This window comes from Homo sapiens, chromosome 3 (assembly GCF_000001405.40).
Source record: "Homo sapiens chromosome 3, GRCh38.p14 Primary Assembly".
NCBI lineage: Eukaryota > Metazoa > Chordata > Mammalia > Primates > Hominidae > Homo > Homo sapiens.
The window spans coordinates 128,503,343-128,525,548 of record NC_000003.12 but is presented as its reverse complement, the minus strand read 5'-3'; the positions used below and the strand labels follow the sequence as shown (position 1 = coordinate 128,525,548).

The 22,206-nt window shown below is 46.2% G+C and overlaps 1 long non-coding RNA gene across 1 annotated transcript, besides 2 other annotated features; it reads right to left on the bottom strand.

Annotated features, from left to right (window-relative positions):
* Positions 452-951: an enhancer, noted in NCBI's record as "H3K4me1 hESC enhancer chr3:128243441-128243940 (GRCh37/hg19 assembly coordinates)". NCBI's record gives its function as "activates a minimal SCP1, AML or CMV promoter by ChIP-STARR-seq in naive H9 embryonic stem cells {active_cell/tissue: H9 hESC(naive)}" and the evidence as "EXISTENCE:reporter gene assay evidence [ECO:0000049][PMID:30033119]".
* LOC90246 (uncharacterized) lies at positions 14,954-17,714 on the bottom strand. Its single transcript, NR_026954.1, has one exon. It is a non-coding gene; the product is annotated as an uncharacterized LOC90246 (long non-coding RNA).
* Positions 20,158-21,357: an enhancer, noted in NCBI's record as "MED14-independent group 3 enhancer chr3:128223035-128224234 (GRCh37/hg19 assembly coordinates)". NCBI's record gives its function as "activates an origin of replication core promoter dependent on BRD2, BRD4, P300/CBP and CDK7 cofactors, and independent of MED14, by STARR-seq in HCT116 cells {active_cell/tissue: HCT116}" and the evidence as "EXISTENCE:reporter gene assay evidence [ECO:0000049][PMID:35650434]".

Below are 22,206 nucleotides of genomic sequence, written 5' to 3'. Positions count from 1 at the left end.
ATATGTCAGTAAAGTAGAAAATCAAGTTTTATATCTGTCTATCTATATCTCATTTATGTAAAAAAATTCGTATTGATTTGTGTGTTTGCAAATGCATAGCAAATATGTGTCCACTGTTCACAACTGGGAGAAGGGAATGGGCTAGGAAGGGTGGAAATTGCGCTTAAAAAATATGGGCATCTATTTTTTACAAGGAGCATGCATTCATTGTGGAATTTTAAAGGCAACTTAACAATTAAGAAAAAAACCCACAACACCTGAAACTTGCCTTTGGTGTTAACGCGGCTGAATTGAAAATTGTATTTATTTACTAATGAATTTTCACTGGCCTGTATCTATTAAACTGACAAATGTGCATCCTGTCTGACATAGAGATTCCCCTTCTTTGGGTATTCTCAAAGTAGCCTTTGTGTATACACACCAGAAGGCATCAGTGAAGATAGCCATTGTTTGTAAGAGCGAAACAATAGGAATAACGTCAGTGTCCAATCATAGAGGAAGAGCTAAGTAAACCATGATGTAGCCATTCACTAAATAATGTAGTAGTTAAGGAGAATGAGTGGCTCTATTTATTAGCATGAATAGGTCTCTAAGACAAATCTTTGAGTGCAAAAAGCAAGGTACCGAGTACTGTGCAAAGCATCATAACCCTCCTCTGGCTATGCATACATATGTACATAGGGCATATGAAAACATCTAGAAGGATGCATTCCAACCTGATGTCCATTTTATCAGCCCAGGAGGTGGTGAGTCTAATGTGCAAGGTTTCAGCCTGAGGGCTGAAGGCAGCCAGGTGTGAGCTTGAAATAACATGAACTTTCCTTCTCCTGAGCATGGACTTCCTGTCCGTTATGGCATGTAATCCTCAGAGGCTCAGAGAAGGGAAGGGACTTGTGCAGGGCCACACAGAGGGTAGGTGGCCGAGCTGGGATCAGCTCCAGGTGGGTTTGGCTTCAAAGCCCGTGCTCAGCCCACTTCTCCCTGGGGCAGGTGACGTGGAGGCTCAGGGGAGCTGGAGGGACTCAGTGGGGAGGGGAGGGGCCTCCTCCTCACCGGGTTCCCTGCTTGGTCTCAGAATTCCTCTCCTCACTCTGCTGAGCAGCCTGATGGGTGAAGAGCACTTTCAGGCCAGGGGCACAGACATGCTGGGGGTTCCCTTTAGGACATCCTTCTCAGCATTCCATCTCATCTGTGGAAGCTCTGGGCAGGAGGAAGTTCTTGTGGATATGGAGCTGGAATCTTCCTCTGTGGGAGTTCCCCACAAGCCCCAGTGTTGCCATCTGTGCCCTGTAGGCCGCTTGCTTCCTTAGAGGGATGGTGAGAGGGTGCCCAGCACTGCCCTTCTCCAGGCTGAGCCACCTCAGCTCCTCAAAGGGTGGGCCTCCAGCCACCTCCCTTTTGCAGTTATCTCCTCGAGACCCTTGCCCCGGGCTGGGCCTGTCCCCTCTGAGGTGGGCCTCCTAGGGAGGATCGGCTGCTGATAACCAGATGAGGCTGTCTTCTGGATTCTGTAGAATGGGAAGGAGATCCTTGGAGGAGAAGATGCCAGCTCTGCCGGGGTCTCGTGGGTCATGTGCTCCCAGGGTGACTTCAGGGAAGACCTGTCATGGTTCTCGACACTCCACAGCCTGGGCCACTTTTCACACTGCCAACACGGAACCAGAGTCTGTGGCCAGCGTGGCCAAGCCAGGCACCTCTGCTAGCAAGGCACATCGCTCGGTGGTTTCCGTAAGTTGGTGGTGGTTGCATAACTACTTCACCAACTGCCATGCCAGATATATTTTGCAACCCAGCCCGCTGTGCCACACACGTCGCGGGCACAGCCAGGCCTCCCACAGCGGCGGGAGGAAGTCTGAGAGTGAGACTCTGACAGCGCCTCCCAGGAGCCTTCCACAGGACACCGCCTCTCCCCAGGCCCTGCATGCACCCCCAGCTGGGCAGCGCAGGAGGCTCCTGGGGCCCCACTGTCCTCTGAGAGGACACCATCCTCTTGGGGATCAGGTGGAGATAGGCCCCGAAGTCCCACTGGAGGGAGACAGCCACCCTCAGTCCACAGGCTGGATCCCACACAGGCCACAAGCCTGGAAAGGACCTGCAGACACACGGGGGAAGCTCAGCATTGTTCCAGGAGGCATGGGAGGGGGGGCTCCAGAGCTAGTCCGGAGGACAGGTGGACCCATAGCCACCTGAGAGGAGAGAGGGAGAGTTCACCCTCATGCAGGAAGAGACAGGAAACTGCACCAGCCTGTGCGTCTCTCACCACAGAGAGCTGTGAATGGCCAGTGCTTAGGGCTTGGCTGTCTCCAGAGAGCATCAGAGCCCGGGGGGCATTTGTCCACACATTTGTCCATAGGCATTTGGGCCCCATCGTTCCAGGGATGAGGGTGATCCACATGGCTTTGTGGTGTTCCCAACCAGAAGTGAGGAATCTCTGGGGAAAAGGAGCCAAGGGCGGAGAGAGGACTGGGGACATTCCCATTCCTGCAAAAGTTGCTGTGGGAGTTGGGAGTGTAGTGAGCACTGTGGTGAGTCTCACAGGTTCCCTGCTCAGCCTCATGAGATTGGCTGAGCCTCTGTGGTGGCCACAGCCCAACTTCTCCCTCTGCTCAATCCTGCCTCCTTGTTCCTGCAACCAGATGCTGATTTTGAGGGCTCTTCAATAGACCTCTTGGAGCCTGCTCCGGAGGGAGCCCACCTAGCAAGTACTCGGACCACAGGGGCACAGAGGGGCCCAACTAAACAAAAGCAAACACGTAGGATTCCAACCGGCAGATGCTCTGCTCCCCATTGAAGCCAGTCTCTTCCAGCTTCTTCCCGTCCAGCCTCTCCCATCCGGCTGCCCGTGTTGGAGCATTGTTTGCACTGGCTTAAACCAAGAAAGGCACTGTCGGGCTGAAGGAGAGAGTGGTTGGCCATTACAGACAAGTGTGAAAGACCAGCGTCTAACTGAGGCTTTCTGGCGAGGACATCCCCACTCAGGAGATAGAACATTGGATGGAGAGTTTGCCTTTGGTATAAACACTTGTGAATTACTCTACTTTGGAAGATGTCTAGGACATTTTTGGAAAGAGGAAACCTTCTGATTGCCTTATAACTCCCATAGCAAAGGTTTGCCTTTACCACACCATGTCTAGGCGGAGCAAAACCGGGACTAGCCGTCAGCAGTTTTGCTCACCTATCCGGCAGGAGTGATTTCAAACACATGTCTAGGGTTGAATCATTTACCAAATGCCCTTCTGTTATTCATTGCAGCAGTAGGGATCCAAACTCTCTTTAAAATAAAAAAAAAGGTTGGGGAGAAAGGAGGTGTTGCTGCATGTAACAGAAAAAAAATCTAAGGGTGGTCTTTAGGTATGGTTTGATCCGGGGGCTTAAATGATGCTGTGAAAACCTTGTTTGCTTTCTATCTGTCTCTGGGGTCTGCTTGCTCTGCATGACTCCATTCTCAGGAAGCCTCTCCTCTGGTGTGGCAAACTAACTGCAGCAGTTCTGGCTTCATACTCCCCACTGTTAAAGAGGTAAGTGGGAAAATTAATATCTTTTCCAGCTGTCCAAGCAAAAGTCCTGGGACTCACTTTAATTGGCTTGAGTGACTTGGGTTTGGCCATCTCTGAACCAATCGCTGTGCCTTGAGAGAAATGCAGTGCCCTGATAGGTCATGCCTAACATTCCCCTGTAAACATTTCCTGAGTATCTGGCTGGTGTAAGGCCATGTCACAGGTCTGTGGATTATATAGATATCATGGCCATTCATTTGCCCTCAAGAAATCACTCTTCTAGTAGGGTAAACTGACATACAACAAGCTTAGAAAATAATCCATTATCTGATTTGATTCACACAAAGATCTTGTAAGAGAGACTGTTATATATATGAACTTATTCTGCAGATAAGGAAACAGAGGCTCAGAGAATTGAGTCCACATACAGCCTAACGGATGCCTGATGAATCCTGATGTTGGGAGCAGTAGAGCTTTCCCAGCTCTCGGCATGCCTGGTTGCTGAGAGACATGATGAGGATTGGCGGTCCCAGAAGAGTCCCAGCCCCTTGCACCAAGGCAGGAAGAATCCAAGTCCTGAAGCTCCCTTCAGCATTCAGCCCGGGGCAGTTTTGTTGAGGACGCATGAGCCCCTGAGGAGGCTCCCAAAATATCCTGTTATTTCTGCCGCAAGTAACAGAAAGCCTGGCGACTTCTGGCTTATGCATCAAAGAGTGGTTCTCTCATGTCACAGGGAGTCTGGAGGCATGCATTCTTGGGCTGGTTTAAACAGTGGACGGGGGACATCATCAAGAACCCCTTGACTGTCCATCTTCCCCTCTGCCAGCCTTGGCAGGTTCATTTTCCTCCCTAGGATTGGCTCTTCAAGGTCAGAAGGTGGCTGCATCGACTCCAGGATTCATATCACAGCCATGTCCAAAAGCCAGGTGAAGGCAGGGTCCCTTCCTGTGCACCTTTAGGAAGAGGAAAAAATTCCCCCAAAGCTCCCCAGAAGACCACCTCCCATGTCCAGTGGCCACAACTGTGGCACATGTCCATGCCTACTCAATATAGTACTCAAGTTCAGTGGCTATGACAAAGATCCAGAAATGACAGTGGCTTAAACAAAAGCAATGTCTATGTCTCTCTCAAGGAAAAGCCCAACTTGGTGGTCCTAGACTGATTTGTGTGTCCACAATGAACATGGACCCAGGTTCTTTCTATCTTGTGCCTCTGCCCCTTTCATCTGAGCCTTTTACCTTCTAACCCAAGGTGGCTACACCAGCTTCTGCCATCACATCTTCATTCCAGCCAGTAGGAAGGGGAGAAGGGATGGAGACACACCACTATCCCTTAAAGGTATGACCTGGAGGTTCAGGTGTAACTTTTGCTTATTTCCCCTCGGTTCAACGAATCTTGTGTCCACTCTGAAGTGCAAAGGAGGCTGGGCATGTAGGCTTTGTCCTGCTACTAAGGAAAGAAGAAGGAAATGGATATTGAGGAAGAGTGAGCAGCCTCTGCCCCAGCATGGAATCATGAGGAGGATTAATCTAGGCTAGACTGAGCTTCTTCCCAGTGGGCTGGGAAGCAGGAGCCAGTCCTCAGTGTCACAATGACCATCATTTATGAGGCCTACCATGTGTCGGGCACCGCAAAACACACACATTTTCACTTCGATCTCCGCTACTCAGCAGGGAGCAGATATTGTTTGAGTGACTCACCCAAAGTCACATGGTTACTAAGGGGTGAAGATGGGATTTGAACCCAGGTCTCTCTGATGCTGATGTCCGACTGTTTGTCTCCACACCACCCAGCTCCCCACATCTGCAGGAAGATCCTCTGGGGATAGGAGCTGGAGAAGGGGCAATGGACTTAAAAGCTCTATTCACAACAGTAGCTATTCCTTATCCAGGACTTTCTCAGTGCCAGGGACTTGCTATTATAGTTTGTATTATACACAGATTTTCTGTAAATTAGTAGTATTATCCCATTTTACAGAGGTGGACACTGAAGTTCAGAGCAATTATTTGTCTTATGGAAAAATCACATGGCCAGTAAATGACAGTCTCAGAATCTGAACCCAGATTTGTCTGACTTCAAAATAATTGATTTCTCTGTGGCACCAGGAAATTCATGAAATTGCGGCAGCTGAGAGGGTCAAGGTGTCCAACATGCCATTCACCAAAACTATGAGCCCTTGCAGGTCCTAATCTCCACCTTATCCAGCCCCATCCTCCCAGTATGCAGCACTGGGTCTGGCACAAACATCTCCTCCCCACCCCCACCACCGTTTCAGTTTGCAAAAGTTTTAAAATACAGAAAAATAAAAAGAGCAATCTCATAAAGACAGACTCCCCACAATGCACATTTTACTACTGGATAATCCAGGATCACCTCCCATCTCAAGATTCTTAACCTTAGTCACACCTGCTAAGTCCCTTTTGCCATGTAAAGTGACATATTCCCAGGTTCTAGGATTAGGATGTGGACACCTTTGAGGGGGCATTCTTCTGTCTACTGTCTCAGAGGGCATGGTAGGGAGTATCTCATTCTCTCTACTTTTGTGTAGGTTTGAAATTTTTCACAGTAATAAGTTAAAAGTGAGTTTGTACCATGCTGTGCCCTGGGGGCTGTGATTCTAGGAAGGGTGGTTGGGCAGGTCTCTCTGAAGAGGTGACATCCAAGCTAAGATACGATGCACACTGGGTGCTCCATGAGTGGCCCCTGCAGCGCAGGGAGGAGAAGCAGGAAGCAGGGACAGGTGGGAGGATCGTGAGAGCCCTGTTCCCTGGTTGTCTCGGCTGGGGGTAAGGGGCAGCCTGGGGCCCTGGACAGACCCTGTGCTCTGAGAAATGGGGCACAGGAAGCTTCTTGCACCTGGAAGCCCCTCACCACACTTTATTTGTACTCCCGGGGTCGCTCCAGGATGGGGCTGCCTGAGGGAGCTGTGTTCTGCACCCTGCTGGAGCCAGCCTGCTGTGGAACTGGTGGCACAGAGCAGGGCCTGGCCACCAAGGTCATTATAAAATGTGTTTTGTAGCCATTTTGTGCTGTAAAGGTTATTTGGAGCTCACTTTGTACCAGGCGTGATTTTAAACACCTTATGTATATGAGCGCATTTCACCTTCACTACCATCCTGTGGCGCAGGCTGTAGTGTCCACCACTTTCAGACAGTCTCTCGGCCAGGGTTCAACCAGAGAAGCAGAACCAGGGGGAAATCTACAGCAAGATGTTTATCGCAAGGAATTGGCTTATGAGATGGGGGTGGGAGTAGGGAGGGATGGCACGAAGTTGCTGTCCACAGATGGAACTTCTGGAAAGCCTCAGCTCTGCCCTTAAGGCTTTTCAAATGATGGAGTCCAGCCCACCCCAGTGATTAGGCTAATCTGCTTTACTTAAAAGTCAACAGATTATGAACTACTTTAATCCCACCTGTGAAATACCTTTATGGCAACACTCAGACTTGTATTTGATTGAAGAACTGAGACTGTAGCCTAGCCCAATGGACACATAAAACCACCATCACTGCTGGGGAAACTGAGGCACAAGGCAGTGAGACCATCTGGCTAAGGTCTTGCAGTGAGTAAATGGCAGTATCAGGACTTGAACCTAAGGATCCTCAGCCCTCTTCCACACTGCCTGTCTCAGCCACTTGCTGGTCAGGAAGTTAACCTTGTCCCTGGCTGCCTTCCGCTGTCTTGTCATATGGGGTGTGATGGATGTGCTGGAGCCGGAAGCACATCAGACCTAAAATGTGGGGGCTTCAGGCAGGTGGATGTCATGGCTGGGAGCACCTGTTCTGCAGCTGGATTCGTGTTCTGGCTCTGCTCATGATAGTTGTGTGATATTATTGGGCAAGTTATTCAACCTCTCTGTGCCTCAGTTTCCTCATATGTAAAATCTGCATAAAATGGTACCTGACTCATTTTGTGGGGATTACATGAGATCATAGACATAAGACACTCAGAATAGTAAGAAGTCAATGAATATCAGTTTTAAAATTCTAGTCCAATAGCCCACTGCCCCCTCCCTCAACTGCCTGGCTCAGCCCCAGGGCTTCCCCAGAGCTGGCTGCCTCTCTGCCCTGCAAACCCCCGGCCCATCAGGAAGCTGCTGATCATGTTCCCTGGGAGGCTACCCTCCTAAGGGTGGATGTGTGGAGGCAGCTCCTCCAGTTGAGGCAGCCCCCAGAGACATATGGTTTTGGCACTGCACTGCATAGGGCTGTGTGCTGCCAAGGAGCGGGCACAGAAGCCTGGCCCAGCCTGGCCCCCCTTGGGCTCAGCAGGTGCTCCAGGCATGAGGAGAGGCTGAGATGGAGAAGGAAATCTACCGTGGGGGAAGGCAGGCTCTCAGGAGGCAGGACTGGCCACGGAACCCTGGGGGGCATCAGGGATGGAGTGTGGCCCAGGTGGGTGGAGGCAACTGGGCAAGTACTCCAGGACAGAGACTCTGGCAACAGAGATAGTGGCCTCTAGCAACCTTTGCTAAGGGAAGAAGGACCAGACTGGCTCCCACCCTAACCTACTCCTGAGCCTCAGTCACTCTCACTGCCTCTGCTCCTGCAACCTTCTCTCCAAAGTTGGTCTCAACACCGAGCCCCTGGCACCGTTGCAGGACTTTCTCCCTGCTCTATCAGTTAGCACTGCTGCGTAAGAAACCACTCCAAGGCTTGGTGGCCTAAAGTGACAACCATCTGTTATTGCAATGAGTCCATAGGAACACCTGAGTGGTTCTACTGATCTGGGATGGGCCTAGATAATCTTGTCCCTGTCTCTGTAGTTTTGCTAGAATGTCATATAAACAGAACCACACAGTATGTGACCTTCGATCCTGGCTTCCTTCACGCAGTGCAACTGAGGTGCATCCATGTTGTTGCATGTATCAGTAGTTCATTCCCTTTTATTGCTGTGTTAGTTTCCTGTTCTTAACTTTAACAAATTACCATGGTGGCTTAAAACAATGCAAATTTATTATCCTGCAGTTCTGGAGGCCAGAAGTCCTAAAGTCAAGGTGTTGGGGTGGGGGGCGGGGCTGGTTCCTTCTGCAGGCTCTGAGAGGAAGATTGACTCCTTTCCTTTTTCAGCTTCTAGTAGCTGCCTGCCTGCCTGGCTCATGCCCCCTTCCTCTATCTTTTCTCCAGTCTCTGCTTCCAGCCTCATGTGGCTGTCTCCTCTGACCCCACTTCTGCCTCCCTCTTATGGGAACCCTTGTGATTGCATGGTGCCCATCTGGATAACTCATGATCATCTCCCCATATCAAGATCCTTAATTTGATCGCATCTGCAAAGTCCCTTTGGCATGTGAGGTGACATAGTCACAGGTTCTGGTGATATGACAGGAGCATCTGTGAGGCAGCCATTATTCTGCCTGCTGCAATTACTGCTAATAGCTCAGTTTGAGCTTGCAGCAGTGGGAGGACAAGAGCATGCACTGAGATTCTCCAATCAACCAACTTTTCTCCCAGCAAAAACTGGGAAAGCATACTGCACTGTAAGGTGAACTAAAAAAATTAAAAAATTAAAATATTTTAAAAAGAAAAAGAAAAACTCCTTTATTGGGTTTTAAAAATACTTATTTTTTAAAATAACTTTATTGAGATATAAATTACATACAATAAAATTGTAGTGTTGGATGAATTTTGATGATTGAGTGCTTTATTTTGCATTTTCTAGAATTTCATTAAAAAGAACCATACAATATATGATCTTTTGTGTTTGACTTCTTTTCTTTAGCATGTTTTTGAAATTGATTCTTGTCATTGTGTGATTTAATATTTTATTCCTTTTTATTGCTGAGTAATAATTCATACTATGGATATACCACAAATTTGCTTACCCATTCCCCCAGCTGGGGGCCATATGGGCTACTTCCTGTTTGGGGTTATTATGAATAATGCTGCCATAAACACTTGCATAGAAGTCTTTGCATGGACATGTTTTCATTTCCCTTATGTATCTATGGCTAGGAGTGGATTTGCTGAGTAACATGATAAATTATGGTTAATATTATAAAACACTGCCATACTGTTTTCCAAAGTAGCTATACCAGTTTGCATTCCCACAGTGTATGAAAGTTACAGTTGCTCCACATGGTCTTCAACGCTTGTTATTGTCAGTCTTTTTAACTTTAGCCATTTTTTGTGAGTATATAGTGCCTTTAATTTGCAGTTCCTTAAAGACAAGTGATGTTGAGTATCTTGTCATGTTCTTACTGGGCATTCATACATCTTCTTTTATGAAGTGGCTGTTCAAATCATCTGTCCACTAAAGAAAAAATCAGATAGCATGTCCTATTATTGAACTGTAGGAGATTTGTTTTTAGAAAAACTAAATTCTGGATACAAGCCCTTACCAGATATCTATTTTTTTCAAGTATTTTTTCCAAGTTTGAGGCTTGATCTGAGTTCCAACATTAAGAAATCAGAAAAAGAGAACAAAATAAGTTGAAAAAAGAAGTAAAATGAACAGAAATCTATGAAATAGACAATAGAGAAATCATAGATAAAATCAGTGAATCCAAAATCTGGTTCTTCTAAATGAACAATAAAATTGATAAGCCTACAACTTGATTGCTCAAGAAAAAAGATACAAATTACCAATATCAAGAATGAAAGAAGAGACATCATTAGAGATCCTACAGGCATTTAAAGGATTATAAGAAAATGTGAACAAATTTGTGCCAATAAATTTGGCTACCTAGATAAAATGGACAATTGCCTTGAAAGACATGAATTGCCAAAACTGGTCCAGAAGAAATAGAACTTTTGAATAGTTCTCTATCAATTAAAGAAATTGATTTTGTCATTTAAAACCTTTCCACAAGAAAACATTAAGGAAAAAATAATATAAATCCTGGCCAGGTGCGGTGGCTCAGGCCTATAATCCCAGCACTTTGGGAGGCTGAAGTGGGGGGGGATCGCTTGAGCCTAGGAGCTTGAGACCAGCCTGGGCAACATGTTGAAATCCCATCTCTAAAAAAAATAAAAAATTAGCCAGGCTTGGTGGTGTGCACCTGCAGTCCCAGCTACTTGGGAGGCTGGGGCAGGGGAATCGCTTGCACCCGGGCTGCAGTGAGCCATGTTAGTGCCACTGTACTCCAGCCTGGGTGACAGAGATGAACCCTGTCTCATAGTCATCATCATCATCATCATCATCACCATCCTACATGAACTATTTCAGGAAATATAAGAGGAAGAAATACCTCTCAACCAACTTTATGAGGTAAGTATTATCCTGATAGCAAAAACAGACAAGAGCATCACAAGAAAAGAAAACTAGGAACCCAAATCCCTCATGAACATAAATGAAAATGTCTTCAACAAAACATTAACAAATTGAATACAGCAATATATGAAAAAGATAACATCATTACCAGGTAGGGCTTATTCTAGGGAGGCAAAGTTGATTCAATATCCAAAAATCAAAGAAATTCATTACATTAATACAATAAGAGGTGGAAACCATATGATTATTTTGAAAGATGCAGATAAAGCATTCAATCAGATTTAACACTGATTCCCAATAAGAATTCTCAGCAAAAGAGGAACAGAAGGGAGTGTCCTCAGTTTAATGAAGGACATCCATGAAGAACCTACAGTTAACATGATCCTCAATGATGAAAGGCTCAATACTAAGATTAGGAACAAGGTGCAGACATCTCTCACAGCTTCTAGGCAACATTTATACTGAAGGTCCTAGCCAATGTAATAAGGCAAGAAAAAGAAATAAATGGCATAAGTATAGAAAAGAAAGATGTAAAATTGTCTTTATTTTTAGACAGCATGATTGCATGCACAGAAAACTCTTAAGGAATGGGGGCTAGGGAAAGCTAGAAGTAATAAGTGAATATAGCAAGTTTTTAGGATAAAAACCAACATATAGAAATCCATCATATTTCTATATACTATCAATGAGCAATTGGAAAGTGGAATTTAAAGAATAACTCAGTTTACAATATCACTAAAGATAAAACACTTAGGAATAAATTGAGCAAAAGATGTGCAAGATCTGTACACTCAAAACTATGAAACCTCACAAAGGGAAATTGGAGATCTAACTAAATGGAGAGATATACCCACATGCATGAACTGGAAGCCCCCATATTGTTAAGATGATAATTATCCTCAAATTGATCTATACATTCATTGCAATCCAAATCAAAATCCCACATCTTTATTAAGAAGAGAAATGGACAGCTTAATTAAAAAATTTATATAGAATGGCAAAGGACCTAGAAGAGCCAAAATAATCTTGGAAAAAGATGAAGTTCAGAAAGATAACACAATCTGCTTTCAAACCTTTCTAGAAAGCTATAGTAATCGAGATGTTGTGGTATTGGTGTAAGGATAAACCATAAATCAGGCTGGTCTCAAACTCCTGATCAATGAAGAAGAAACCAAAAATACTCACACTTATATGGCCAATTGATTTTTTACAAAAATACCAAGGTACTTCAATGGGGGAAAATATTGCTATTTAGACATATGGTGCTCAAACAAGTAAATATCATTATGGTAAAAAAAAAATCTAACCTTTATCTTGCAACATTCTAAAAAATTAACCAAAAGAGATTATAGATCTAAACATAAGCGCGAAAACTCTCAAAGTCTGGGAGAAAACATAGGAAAAAAATCTTAGTGACATTGGGTTAAGCAAAGATTTTAAAAATAAGACACAAAAGGCACAATCTATAAAAGAAGAATTATAAAATAGACTTCATTTTTATTATTTTAATCACATACTTATAATACATTCTTTTTTTGTTGTGTTTTTAGACAAAGTCTCTCTCTGTTGCCCAGGCTGGAGTGTAATGGCACCATCTTGGCTTACTACAACCTCTGCCTCCTGGGTTGAAGTAATTCTTTTGCCTTAGCCTCCCAAGTAGCTGGGATTATAGGCGTGCACCACCACATCTAGCTAATTTTTGTATTTTTAGTAGAGACGAGGTTTTGCCATGTTGGTCTTGAACTCCTGACCTCAAGTGATCTGCCCACCTTGGCCTCCCAAACTGCTGGGATTACAGGGGTTAGCCACTGTGCCCAGCCTTATAATACATTCTTTATTAGATTTTTAAGGTGTTTTTTTAGATTACAAAAGAAATATAATGTTTGTTATTACAATTCAAATGATGCCACTTTTAGACAAATAGGTAACCCTAAAGAATGGACATATATATATATATATATATATACACATAATATCATACACGGTTTTAAAATATGAATGGGGCCATAATATGTCTATTATTCTAAAATTTGATTTTAAATACTCAATTTTTTTAGAGCAGTTTTAGGTTCTCTGCAAAATTGGGAAGAAGGTACAGAGAGTTCCCATATATACACTCCCTGCTCCCCCACTGAAGTAGCTGTGGAGTGACTTGTAAAGAAATTGTGGAAAACATTCCCTATCAGCACATAAATGAACCAATTATTTAAAAAGGTGGATGAAAAGCCATGTTGTGGTTATAATCAACATCTATTTAATCAGTCCATATTTATGGACTTAAAGATGTTTCTGGCCAGGCGTGGTGGCTCACGTCTGTAATCCCAGCACTTTGGGAGGCCGAGGCAGGCGGATCACAAGGTCAGGAGATAGAGACCATCCTGTCTAACACGGTGAAACCCTGTCTCTACTAAAAATATAACAAATTAGCCAGGCGTGGTGGTGGGTACCTGTAGTCCCAGCTACTCGGAAGGCTGAGGCAGGAGAATGGCATGAACCTGGGAGGCGGAGGTTGCAGTGAGCCGAGATCGCACCACTGCACTCCAGCCTGGGCGACAGAGTGAGACTCCATCTCAAAAAAAAAAAAAAAAAAAAAAGATGTTTCTAATGCTTTTATTGTTTTTTCATTTATTTTCTTAAGTGCTAGTATTTCTGAACACTGTATTACTAAGGGTGTGATTGTGGGTATGTACAATTTACATTAACATAGATTCCAGGCAATTGCTCTCCCAAAAAGGTTGCTTCAATTTATATTCCTGCCAATAGTGTAGAAGAATGCTTACTTTCCTGTAGGCTTGCCGTTGGATGGATATTATTGCTCTTGTTATTTGCATGAATTTTTTTTTTGCCAGTCTGCTAACTGAAAAATGGTATCTCATCATTGTTTTAAGTTTTCATTTATTTGATTATGAATAAGGGCATACTTTTCATAACTTAATTGACCACTATATTTCTTCCTGTGTGAATTGCCTATTTTGCTACTGGTTTTTTTTTCTTTTTCTTATTTTTTTTGGGAACACTTTGCATATTGTAGATATTGATTCACTGTATACATTGCAAATATTCTCTCGATCTATTTGTTTATCTTTTAAACTTGTTTACAGTATCTTCACCAGGCAGAAGTTGAAATTTTTATATAGTCCAAGGAATCCAAGGAAGCATTCACTTTTTACAGCTTCTGCTTTCTGTGCAATGCTCAGAAAATCACCTCCCACCCCAAAGTCATAAGAAAGTTGTACATTCTATCTAGCATGTAGTACATTTCAACTACAACTATAATTGTATTTTAACTACATTTTCAATTTCAACTGTATTCCTGCTTCAACTGTATTGGTGACATTTTAATACTTAATATATAAGCTAGGTGTTGGGTATATAGGTGTTTTTTATATTATTCGATCTAATTTTTTGTGTGCCTGAAGTATATATATGTATATACACACACATCTCTCTCTCTCTCTCTCTCTCTCTCTCTCTATATATATATATATATATATATATATATATGTAATTTTTTTTTGAGACAGTGTTTGGCTCTGTTGCCCAGACTGGAGTGCAGTGGTGTACTCATAGCTCACTGCAATCTTGAACTCTTGGGCTCAAGCAATCCTCCTGCCTCAGCCTCCTGAGTAGCTAGGACTACAGGCATGTACCACATAGCCTGGCTAATTTTTTTTAATTTTTATTTTTAGTAGAGAAGAGCTCTTGCTATGTTGCCCAGGCTGGTCTTGAACTCCTGGGCTCAAGCAAGCCTCCCTCTTCAGCCTCCCAAAGTGCTAGGATTACAGGTGTGAACCACCATGCCCAGACTACAATATATATATATTTAAAAATAAAGACAGGGAAATGCCTAATACATTTTTGATGGAGGCTGGGTGCGGTGGTTCATGCCTGTAATCCCAGCACTTTGGGAGGCTGAAATGGGCAGATCACTTGAGGTCAAAATTTTTTTGATGGAGTTGTACTGCCCCAAAACTTCAAGTCTGGTAAAAACAAACAAACAAGCAAACAAAAAGCAAAACAAAACACAAAAACAAGACAAAAATTTTTTTGAAAAAGTCTGTGATGTTATTTCCAAGCCCAAGCAATCTCTGCAGTCTAGAATCTGCACCATTAGGAACTGGCCACTAGAGAACTGAGATCCCCAATGCCCACTTCAGATGTGGGAATGGTGAAGGGTGGGCAGGGAGTACTCGTTTTCCTCCTAGAGGGCAGGGCTGGGCAGTTGAACTGGCTGCCCAAGAAACTCAACATTTTTTTTTTTACATCTTTATTGATGTTAAACAAATCTTTTACATCTTTATCTATATAATTCACGCACTATAAAATTCACCCATTTAAGATGAACCATTCAATGCCATTCAATGCTTTTTAGTATATTCACGCAGTTGTACATCCATCATCACATCTAAGTTTAGAACACTTTCATTGCCCCCAGAATAAACCGTGTTCCTGTTAGCAGCCACTTTCCATTCCTCCCTCCCGCCAGCCTGCAGCAACTACTAATCTGCTTTCTGTCTGGAAATGGAATCACACAAAGCCTTTTATGTCTGGCTTCTTCATTACTTTTTAGGGCCATATAATATTCCATTGTATAGCTATGCCATATTTTGTTTATCTATTCATTAGCTGATGGGCATTTGGGCTATTCCCATTTCTCAATTATTATAAATAATGCTGCTATGAACATTGTGTGCAAATTTTTCTGGGGACACATGTTTTCATTTGCCTTGGGTAGATACCCAGGAGTTGTAATCCTGGGTCCTGTGGTAGCTCAATGTCTAACATTTCTCAGTATTTTTCTAGCAGGGCTTTGGATGTGCTGCAGGCTAGGGGTCTCCCATCCTCCTTTCCCTTACTGGGGGTTGACATGGCACTTTTCCTTCCCTCTCTGCACAGGTGAGGTTGGGAGTGAGGGGGGCCTTAAGCCTAGACTGTAACACGGTCACTGGGGTCCAGCTCCTGGAGCCGGACCTGTCACTGGGAGAGACAGTGTTACCTCCAGTATTCATTTTCCATTGCTGCTGTAACAAAGTGCCACCAACTGAGCAGCTTCAAGCAACATCCATTTAGCATCACAGTTTCTGTGCACTGCAAGTCTGGGCAGAGAGTGCCTCAACTGTATTTTCTGCTTAGGGGCTTACAAGGCAAAATCGAGGTGTTGGCAGGCTGGGCTCTTTCCCGGAGGTGCTCATTAGGGTTGTGAGCAGAATTCAGTCGCTTATGATTGCAGGCCTGGGGTCTCCATTTCTTTGCTACGTGGCCTGAGGCTTCCTTTGTTTTCAAAGCAGCAGTCGCGCTTTCCATCCTTCCTTCCCAAGCTTTAAATCTCCCTTTCCCCCATGCTGTCTCTTTCCAATGTCCTTTCTACCTCTGCCACCAGCCATGGAAAGTTCTCTGCTTTTAAGGGCTTGTGTGACCCACTGAGCCCATGTGGATGATCCAAGACACTCTCCCTATTTTAAGGTCAACTGACGAGCAGCCTTAATTACATCTGCAAAGTCTCTTTTGCTACGTGAGGTAACAAATTCATGGGCATTGACAGTTTCCAAGGATGAGGGTGGCATCTGTGGGGAGCTGTGCATACATCTGTGCTGCCTAGCACACCTCCCCCAGAGGGAGCATGGGAAGAAGCATGTGCATGGATTTTGGACAGGCAAGGGCGTGGGCCGGGGTGGGTTTCTGCCGTTTCGCCACCCAGCATCCATTTCCATCCTTCTGAAACTGCATCTTGATTTTCCACTGGGGGCACCGCTCTGCCCCAGCCAGCTGTGCTTTGTGAAGAGGTTGGACTTGGGGCTTGGGGCTCAGGCCTGGCCAGTCTGACCATGGTGCCTTCCTGACCCCAGAGGCCAGGTCAGGGATGACAGACACATGACCCAGCTGAAGCTAATGAGAATCTGCAGAAGCTTCTGGAAGAAGACCTCACATTCTTCCCACTGGACTTGGCCACAAAAGGGTGCAGGGGTTGGAGCTGCTGCCACCATCTTGCAGCCACGGCGGCAGAGTCCGTTGGAGAATGGCACCGCCGTGGCAGGGAGAGAAGCCTGCGTGCTCGTCTGGATGTTGTCAGCACCCCGATTAAGGCCACCTGAGACAGTCCACCCTGGAGCGTTCAGTTTTGTGAGCCCAAGAATTTTCTTTTTCCATAAATATGTATAGTCACATGAATGCCTCAAGTGTGTGTTTAGTCTTGAGGGTACACATCTGTGAAAACATGACCTTTGGGTGTGGGGTGCTAAGTGGGACTAAGACCCAGAGAGACAAGAGCCAGAGCATGGGTGCCGGGTGCCCCACGTGTGGGGACAGGTTGTGCTGGAGGGAGAGGCTGGAGGCTGTTTTTATAGAAGAACTGGGTTTTCTCCCCCATGTTCATAACTTTTAATTTTGATGCAATTTCCCATATACCCTTTACCTAGATTCACCAATTGCTTACAACTTGTCCCACTGGCTGTACCATTCTCTCTATATTAATATGTACGGAGACACACGCATATTTCTCCTGAACCATCTGAGAGTATGGTGGAGACATGATGCCTCTCTACTATTGTATATTTCAGTGTTTGTTCCCTAAAAACAAGGACATTCTCTTACATAAACACATATGCTTATCAGAGCTAGGACAATTTGCATTGATATGATACTATGATCGAACCCCACAATCCATATCTAAACGTCAATTGTCCCAAGAATGTCCTTTATAGCTATTTCTGTCCTGCTCTAGGATCCAGTTCAGGACCCCACATTGCATTTATTGGTCATGTCCCTTTAGTCAAGGAGGTGACATGTGAACATGGCTTGGAAACTCTAGTGGGTCCTTGACATCCCCAGGAGTGAAATCCAGAAGAGCTATTTGAATGGCCTCATACATACGTGTTCTTTGGTGACTTGCCTTTTTCTCTCACAGTATTGTTGGGAGGTACATCTGCGTTGATGCGTGACACTGTTGTTCGTCTTCATTGCTGTCGAGTATTCCATTGTGTGGGCATGACATGGTTCATTTATCCTTTCTCCTGTGAATGGACCTGGGTGGCTCCCAGGCGTTGTTACTGTGGTTGTGTTTATATCAGTGGATGCTGCTGAGATTTTACCTGTGCAGGGAACTGCTGAGCTCACCTGTACACACGTCCTTGTTAGTGTTGCCAAATTCTCTTACAAAGTGCACTTTCCAAAAAACACTCCCACCAGTGGCGTGCAGAGCTCCTGCTGCCCCACCTGTCCACTCACATTTGGACCTGTCAATTAATTTAATTTCTTCCTGCAGGATGTGGATGAAGCCATCCCCACGCATTTGCCGGGCCACAGGAATATGCTTCCTATTCCTTTGCCAGTGGTTGGTAGCATCCATGTACTTTGCACAGGTTTTGCCACAGTTAGAGTGCATAGAGGGCAATGGCAAGCAGAGCCCCAGCCCTGGCTGCATGGCTGTTTCTCTCTTCCTGTCTGTCTGTCTCTGTCCTTTCTCTCCCTGATGAGGACATGCCCACTCTCTGCCCTGGTGGGATAGGAGCTCATCATGGAGGATTCTGGGTGTTGATGGAGGCTGAGAGAGAGGCCAGGCTCCACTGGACAGGGAATGAAGCAACTTGGGCTAAATCCTCCAATTGGGAGGCTCCTCTCGGATCCTGGCCAAGCAGAATGCCACGGCCATAACATGCCTCCCTTTGTGGGCCTAGCACCTAGGAGCCCTCACAGGTACAAGAGTTGTTTTGTGGACTCTAAACAGCTTCTATAGGTGCTAAGGTGAGTTGAGAACCCCAATCTATTCATCCACTGTTTATTGAGGTCCTACCGTGTGCCAGGCTGTGCCTTTGAAGCTCCAGATGCAGAAGATAACAAGACAGATGAAGTCACCAGTGCCAGCCCCGGGCTAGTTTGCCCTTAGCTCTTGTTATCCCATCCCTTGGCTCTGTGTCACCCATCAGGGAGGGGAGCTTAGCCCCAAGGTGTGAGGCCAGCTGGATTCCTGCTGGATTCAGCCAATGAGAGGCCCTGGAGTGAACAAGGGAGGAGCCAGGGTATTCTCCCCCTTCCTCTTCATCTCAGGTGGCATCTCTGGTGTGGCTCTGTCTTTCCTACAGCTACAGCTCCCACTGGACAGGCCTGCTGAGTCTCCCTGTGTCACCCAGGCCTTGGGCTCTGGTAATGCCATCTCCTCCCATTGCCCCTCCAACCCTGGGGAGGTAACAGCTTCTTGCTCCTAATTTCTGTGCTGCCTCATTGTCCCCTGTTCTTAGCAATTCCATCACCTGCACAATCACATCTCTGAATTTTAACTTTTAAATTAAGCTTTACACTTTTCAAGTGACTTCTATTTCCTTGGTGGGACCCTAGAGATACTCTCCCTCTCTTCGTGTTGTGTATATTAGAGTGGAGAGAGATGGATGATGAACAAATTAAGAAACAAATAGTTATGGTAAATGATGTGAAGAAAATGAAACAGGGTATCCTCTTGGGGAGGGAGCTCATCCTTGGAGGGTTGGGGCAGAGAAACACCATTGAGGAGAGCAGCAAGGTGTGCAGCTAGAAGAGCAAACAAGGACGCCTCATTTACTGGGCACCTACTATGTGTCAGCCCCTGTGCCATGTCCTACAAAAGACCTGATTATGTCTTTTGCAGTTAGTTTTGTGGAAACTGGCATGCAGCAGAGGTTCAAAACAAAACCTCTTCAAAATCACGTCAGTCATTACATAAACTCTTGACATAGATACTTTTGGCAGAGACTGTCAGGTATCTTCCAAAAGCTATTATTCCTCCATAGAATTTTAGCTGAGCACATGATTTCCCAGAGCAAGACTACATTCCCTAGCCTCCTTTGCAGCTAGATATGGTCATGTGACTGTGCTTTAGCCAATGGGATACAAGTGGATGTGTCAGCTTTCAGGGGACTTCCTTAAGAGACAGCTGATGTGAACATTTTGTTCTTTATTCACTTCCTCCTTGCTGCTCCCTGGAATGTAGATACAATGGTGAGGCTGTAACAGCCATCTTGGAATGTGAGGCGACGAAAGCCAACCTTGCTTTCTGACACCAGGGAGTGATATAGTAGCCCTGGATTGCCTACCTGTGAATTTTCACATGACAGAAAAAAAAATTTGTATCTCCTTGTTATGTGCAGCTGAATCTCATCCTAGCAACACAGTACTAATATTTTTATATGATAGGTGAAGAAACTGAGGCTCGAGGAGGGGAAATAACATAGCCCTGGGACTCAGAGCTGATCTTACAGCAGAGTAGGGACTCAAATTCAAGGCCATCTGCTATCAAGACCCTTTCGGCTCCACTATCCTACTCATGCATCCTGCACTCATACGGGCGTGTATAAGAATTCCCAAGGAGGTGAGTCGATCCTGCGCACAGTGGCAGCCCCATCTCTGTCTTGCTTCCCAATCCAATAGGTATATGTGGCCCTTTGCTCATTACTATTGTTCCATCTGTCTATTGCTGCTTTAAAAATGACCCCAAAACTCAGTGGCCTAAAACAGTTCATTATTATTATATCTCACAAACTGGGTAAAGAATCTGGATGGGCGGTGCAGGGATAGCTCGTATCTGCTCTGTGATATCTGTGTCCTCAGTGGGGATGACTCAGATGGCTGGGGGCTGGGGCAATGGGAACTGGTCCGGCAGCTCTTTCGCCACCATGGCCTCTCCACCTGGCTCCAGCCTCCTCACATCATGGTGGCCTCAGGGCAGTTGGATTTTTAACATAGCAGCCCAGGACTCCCAAGGAGAGACTTTCAAGAAGCAAGGAGTGGGCGCTAATCATCTCTTCAGGCCTGGGCTGGAAACTGCAGTGTCACTGCTACCGTATTCTCCTGGTCAAGTCATCTCAGAGCACACCCACATTCAAGGCCCCAAGTATATGAGGGTGTAACAAAGACCTGGTGGGCATCTTTAATCAGCCATGCCTGTGACCACCAGGACTCTTTCAGTTGTAAGAGGCAAAAACCCGGCTTCAGATTGACCGGAGGGAGAGAACTGGGAGTTGTCATTGGCTCATGTCACTGAAAAGGCCAGGGCTCTAGCTGGCTTCCGGCACTGGGGCTGAACGCTCGGGAGCCAGTCTGTCTCTGTCTCTGCTGCTCTGTGTTGGTCTCACTCTCCGGCAGGCTCTCCTGGGTGGCAGTAAAGATGGCCACCGCAGCTCCCAGTGCCACATGACCCCAGCAGGAGGGCAGTCCCCGAGGATTCTTGCCAAGTTTCCAGGTTGGACTCTCCATGGATCCTCCAGAGTCATGTGCCCAGAATCAATCAGCCAGGATGGCTCTGACTGGCTGGGCCAGAGGTGGGTGCTCCACATGGACCACCTTGAACTGAGAGTGGGAGGGGGTGGTCCCTGGAGGGAAAATCTGGGTGCGGCTACCTGGATATGGACACACAGATGCTGCTGCAGTGATCCACTGGATGCCCAGTTCTGGGCCCCTGCTGTGTCCCATGCAGGTGGTCTGGACAGGCACAGGGCTGACCCGTGGTCCTTGCATGGAGTCCCGAGTTCCCCTCCTCTAACATCCCAGGCCTTGGCTCCGGATGGCCCCATGTTCTGGGCCTCAAGCATTCATCTCTGGAAGGGCAAGACCTCTGGGACCTCTTGCCGGGAGCTGCAAAGCCTGGAGACCGGCCTCTCAGGCTTGCCTGCTGGCCCTGGGTAATCTTCATCCTGACCCCAGGCTGCAGGGCTTCCAGAACCCACCTGTGCTCCAGCTGTCACCCACAGTTCATCAGGAGGTGGTCCAAGAAGGTGACCAGGCCCAAAGTATGAGGAAGCCATGTGGTATCTGGGTACAGGGACAGCTAGTGCCAATGTTCTGGGGTGGATGTGTGCCAGCTGTTTGAGAAACAAGAAGGAAGCCAGTGGGGCTGGAGTGGAGCAAGCAAAGGGAATGAGACCAAAGAGGCCAAGAGGGACCCGGGTGCTGCGGGAGGGTGTGGCGCAGATGGGACAGGTTTGACTTACATCTTTTTTTGTTTTTGTTTGAGACAGGGTCTCACTCTGTTGCCCAGGATGGAGTGCAGTGACACAATCAGCCTCACTGAAGCCATGACCTTCTGGGTTCAGGTGATCCTCCCGCCTCAGTCTTCAAAGTAGCTGGGACTACAGGCGTGCGCCACTGCGCCTAGCTAACTTTTGTATCTTCTGTAGAGATGGGGTTTAACTGTGTTGCCTAGGCTGGTCTTGAACTCCTGGGCTCAAGCAATCCACCCACCTTGGCCTCTTGAAGTGCTGGGACTACACGCGTGAGCCACTGCACCTGGCCTGACTTCTATCCTCACGGGCCCCCGCCGGCCACTGTACTATGAACAGAAAGTGGGGAAGTTGAGGACTTCCAGCAAGGAGGCTATTCCAGTAGTCCAGGCGAGAGCTAGGACCAGGCCGGCTGCTTGTTGAGGCGGGAAGTGGTCAGGTTCTAGAATGACAGACGGGAGGCTGGTGTGTGAGGAGGGGGCAGGCAGGGCCCAGGCCTGGACCCTGGCTGCCACCTCCTCACTTTCTAAGGAATGGAC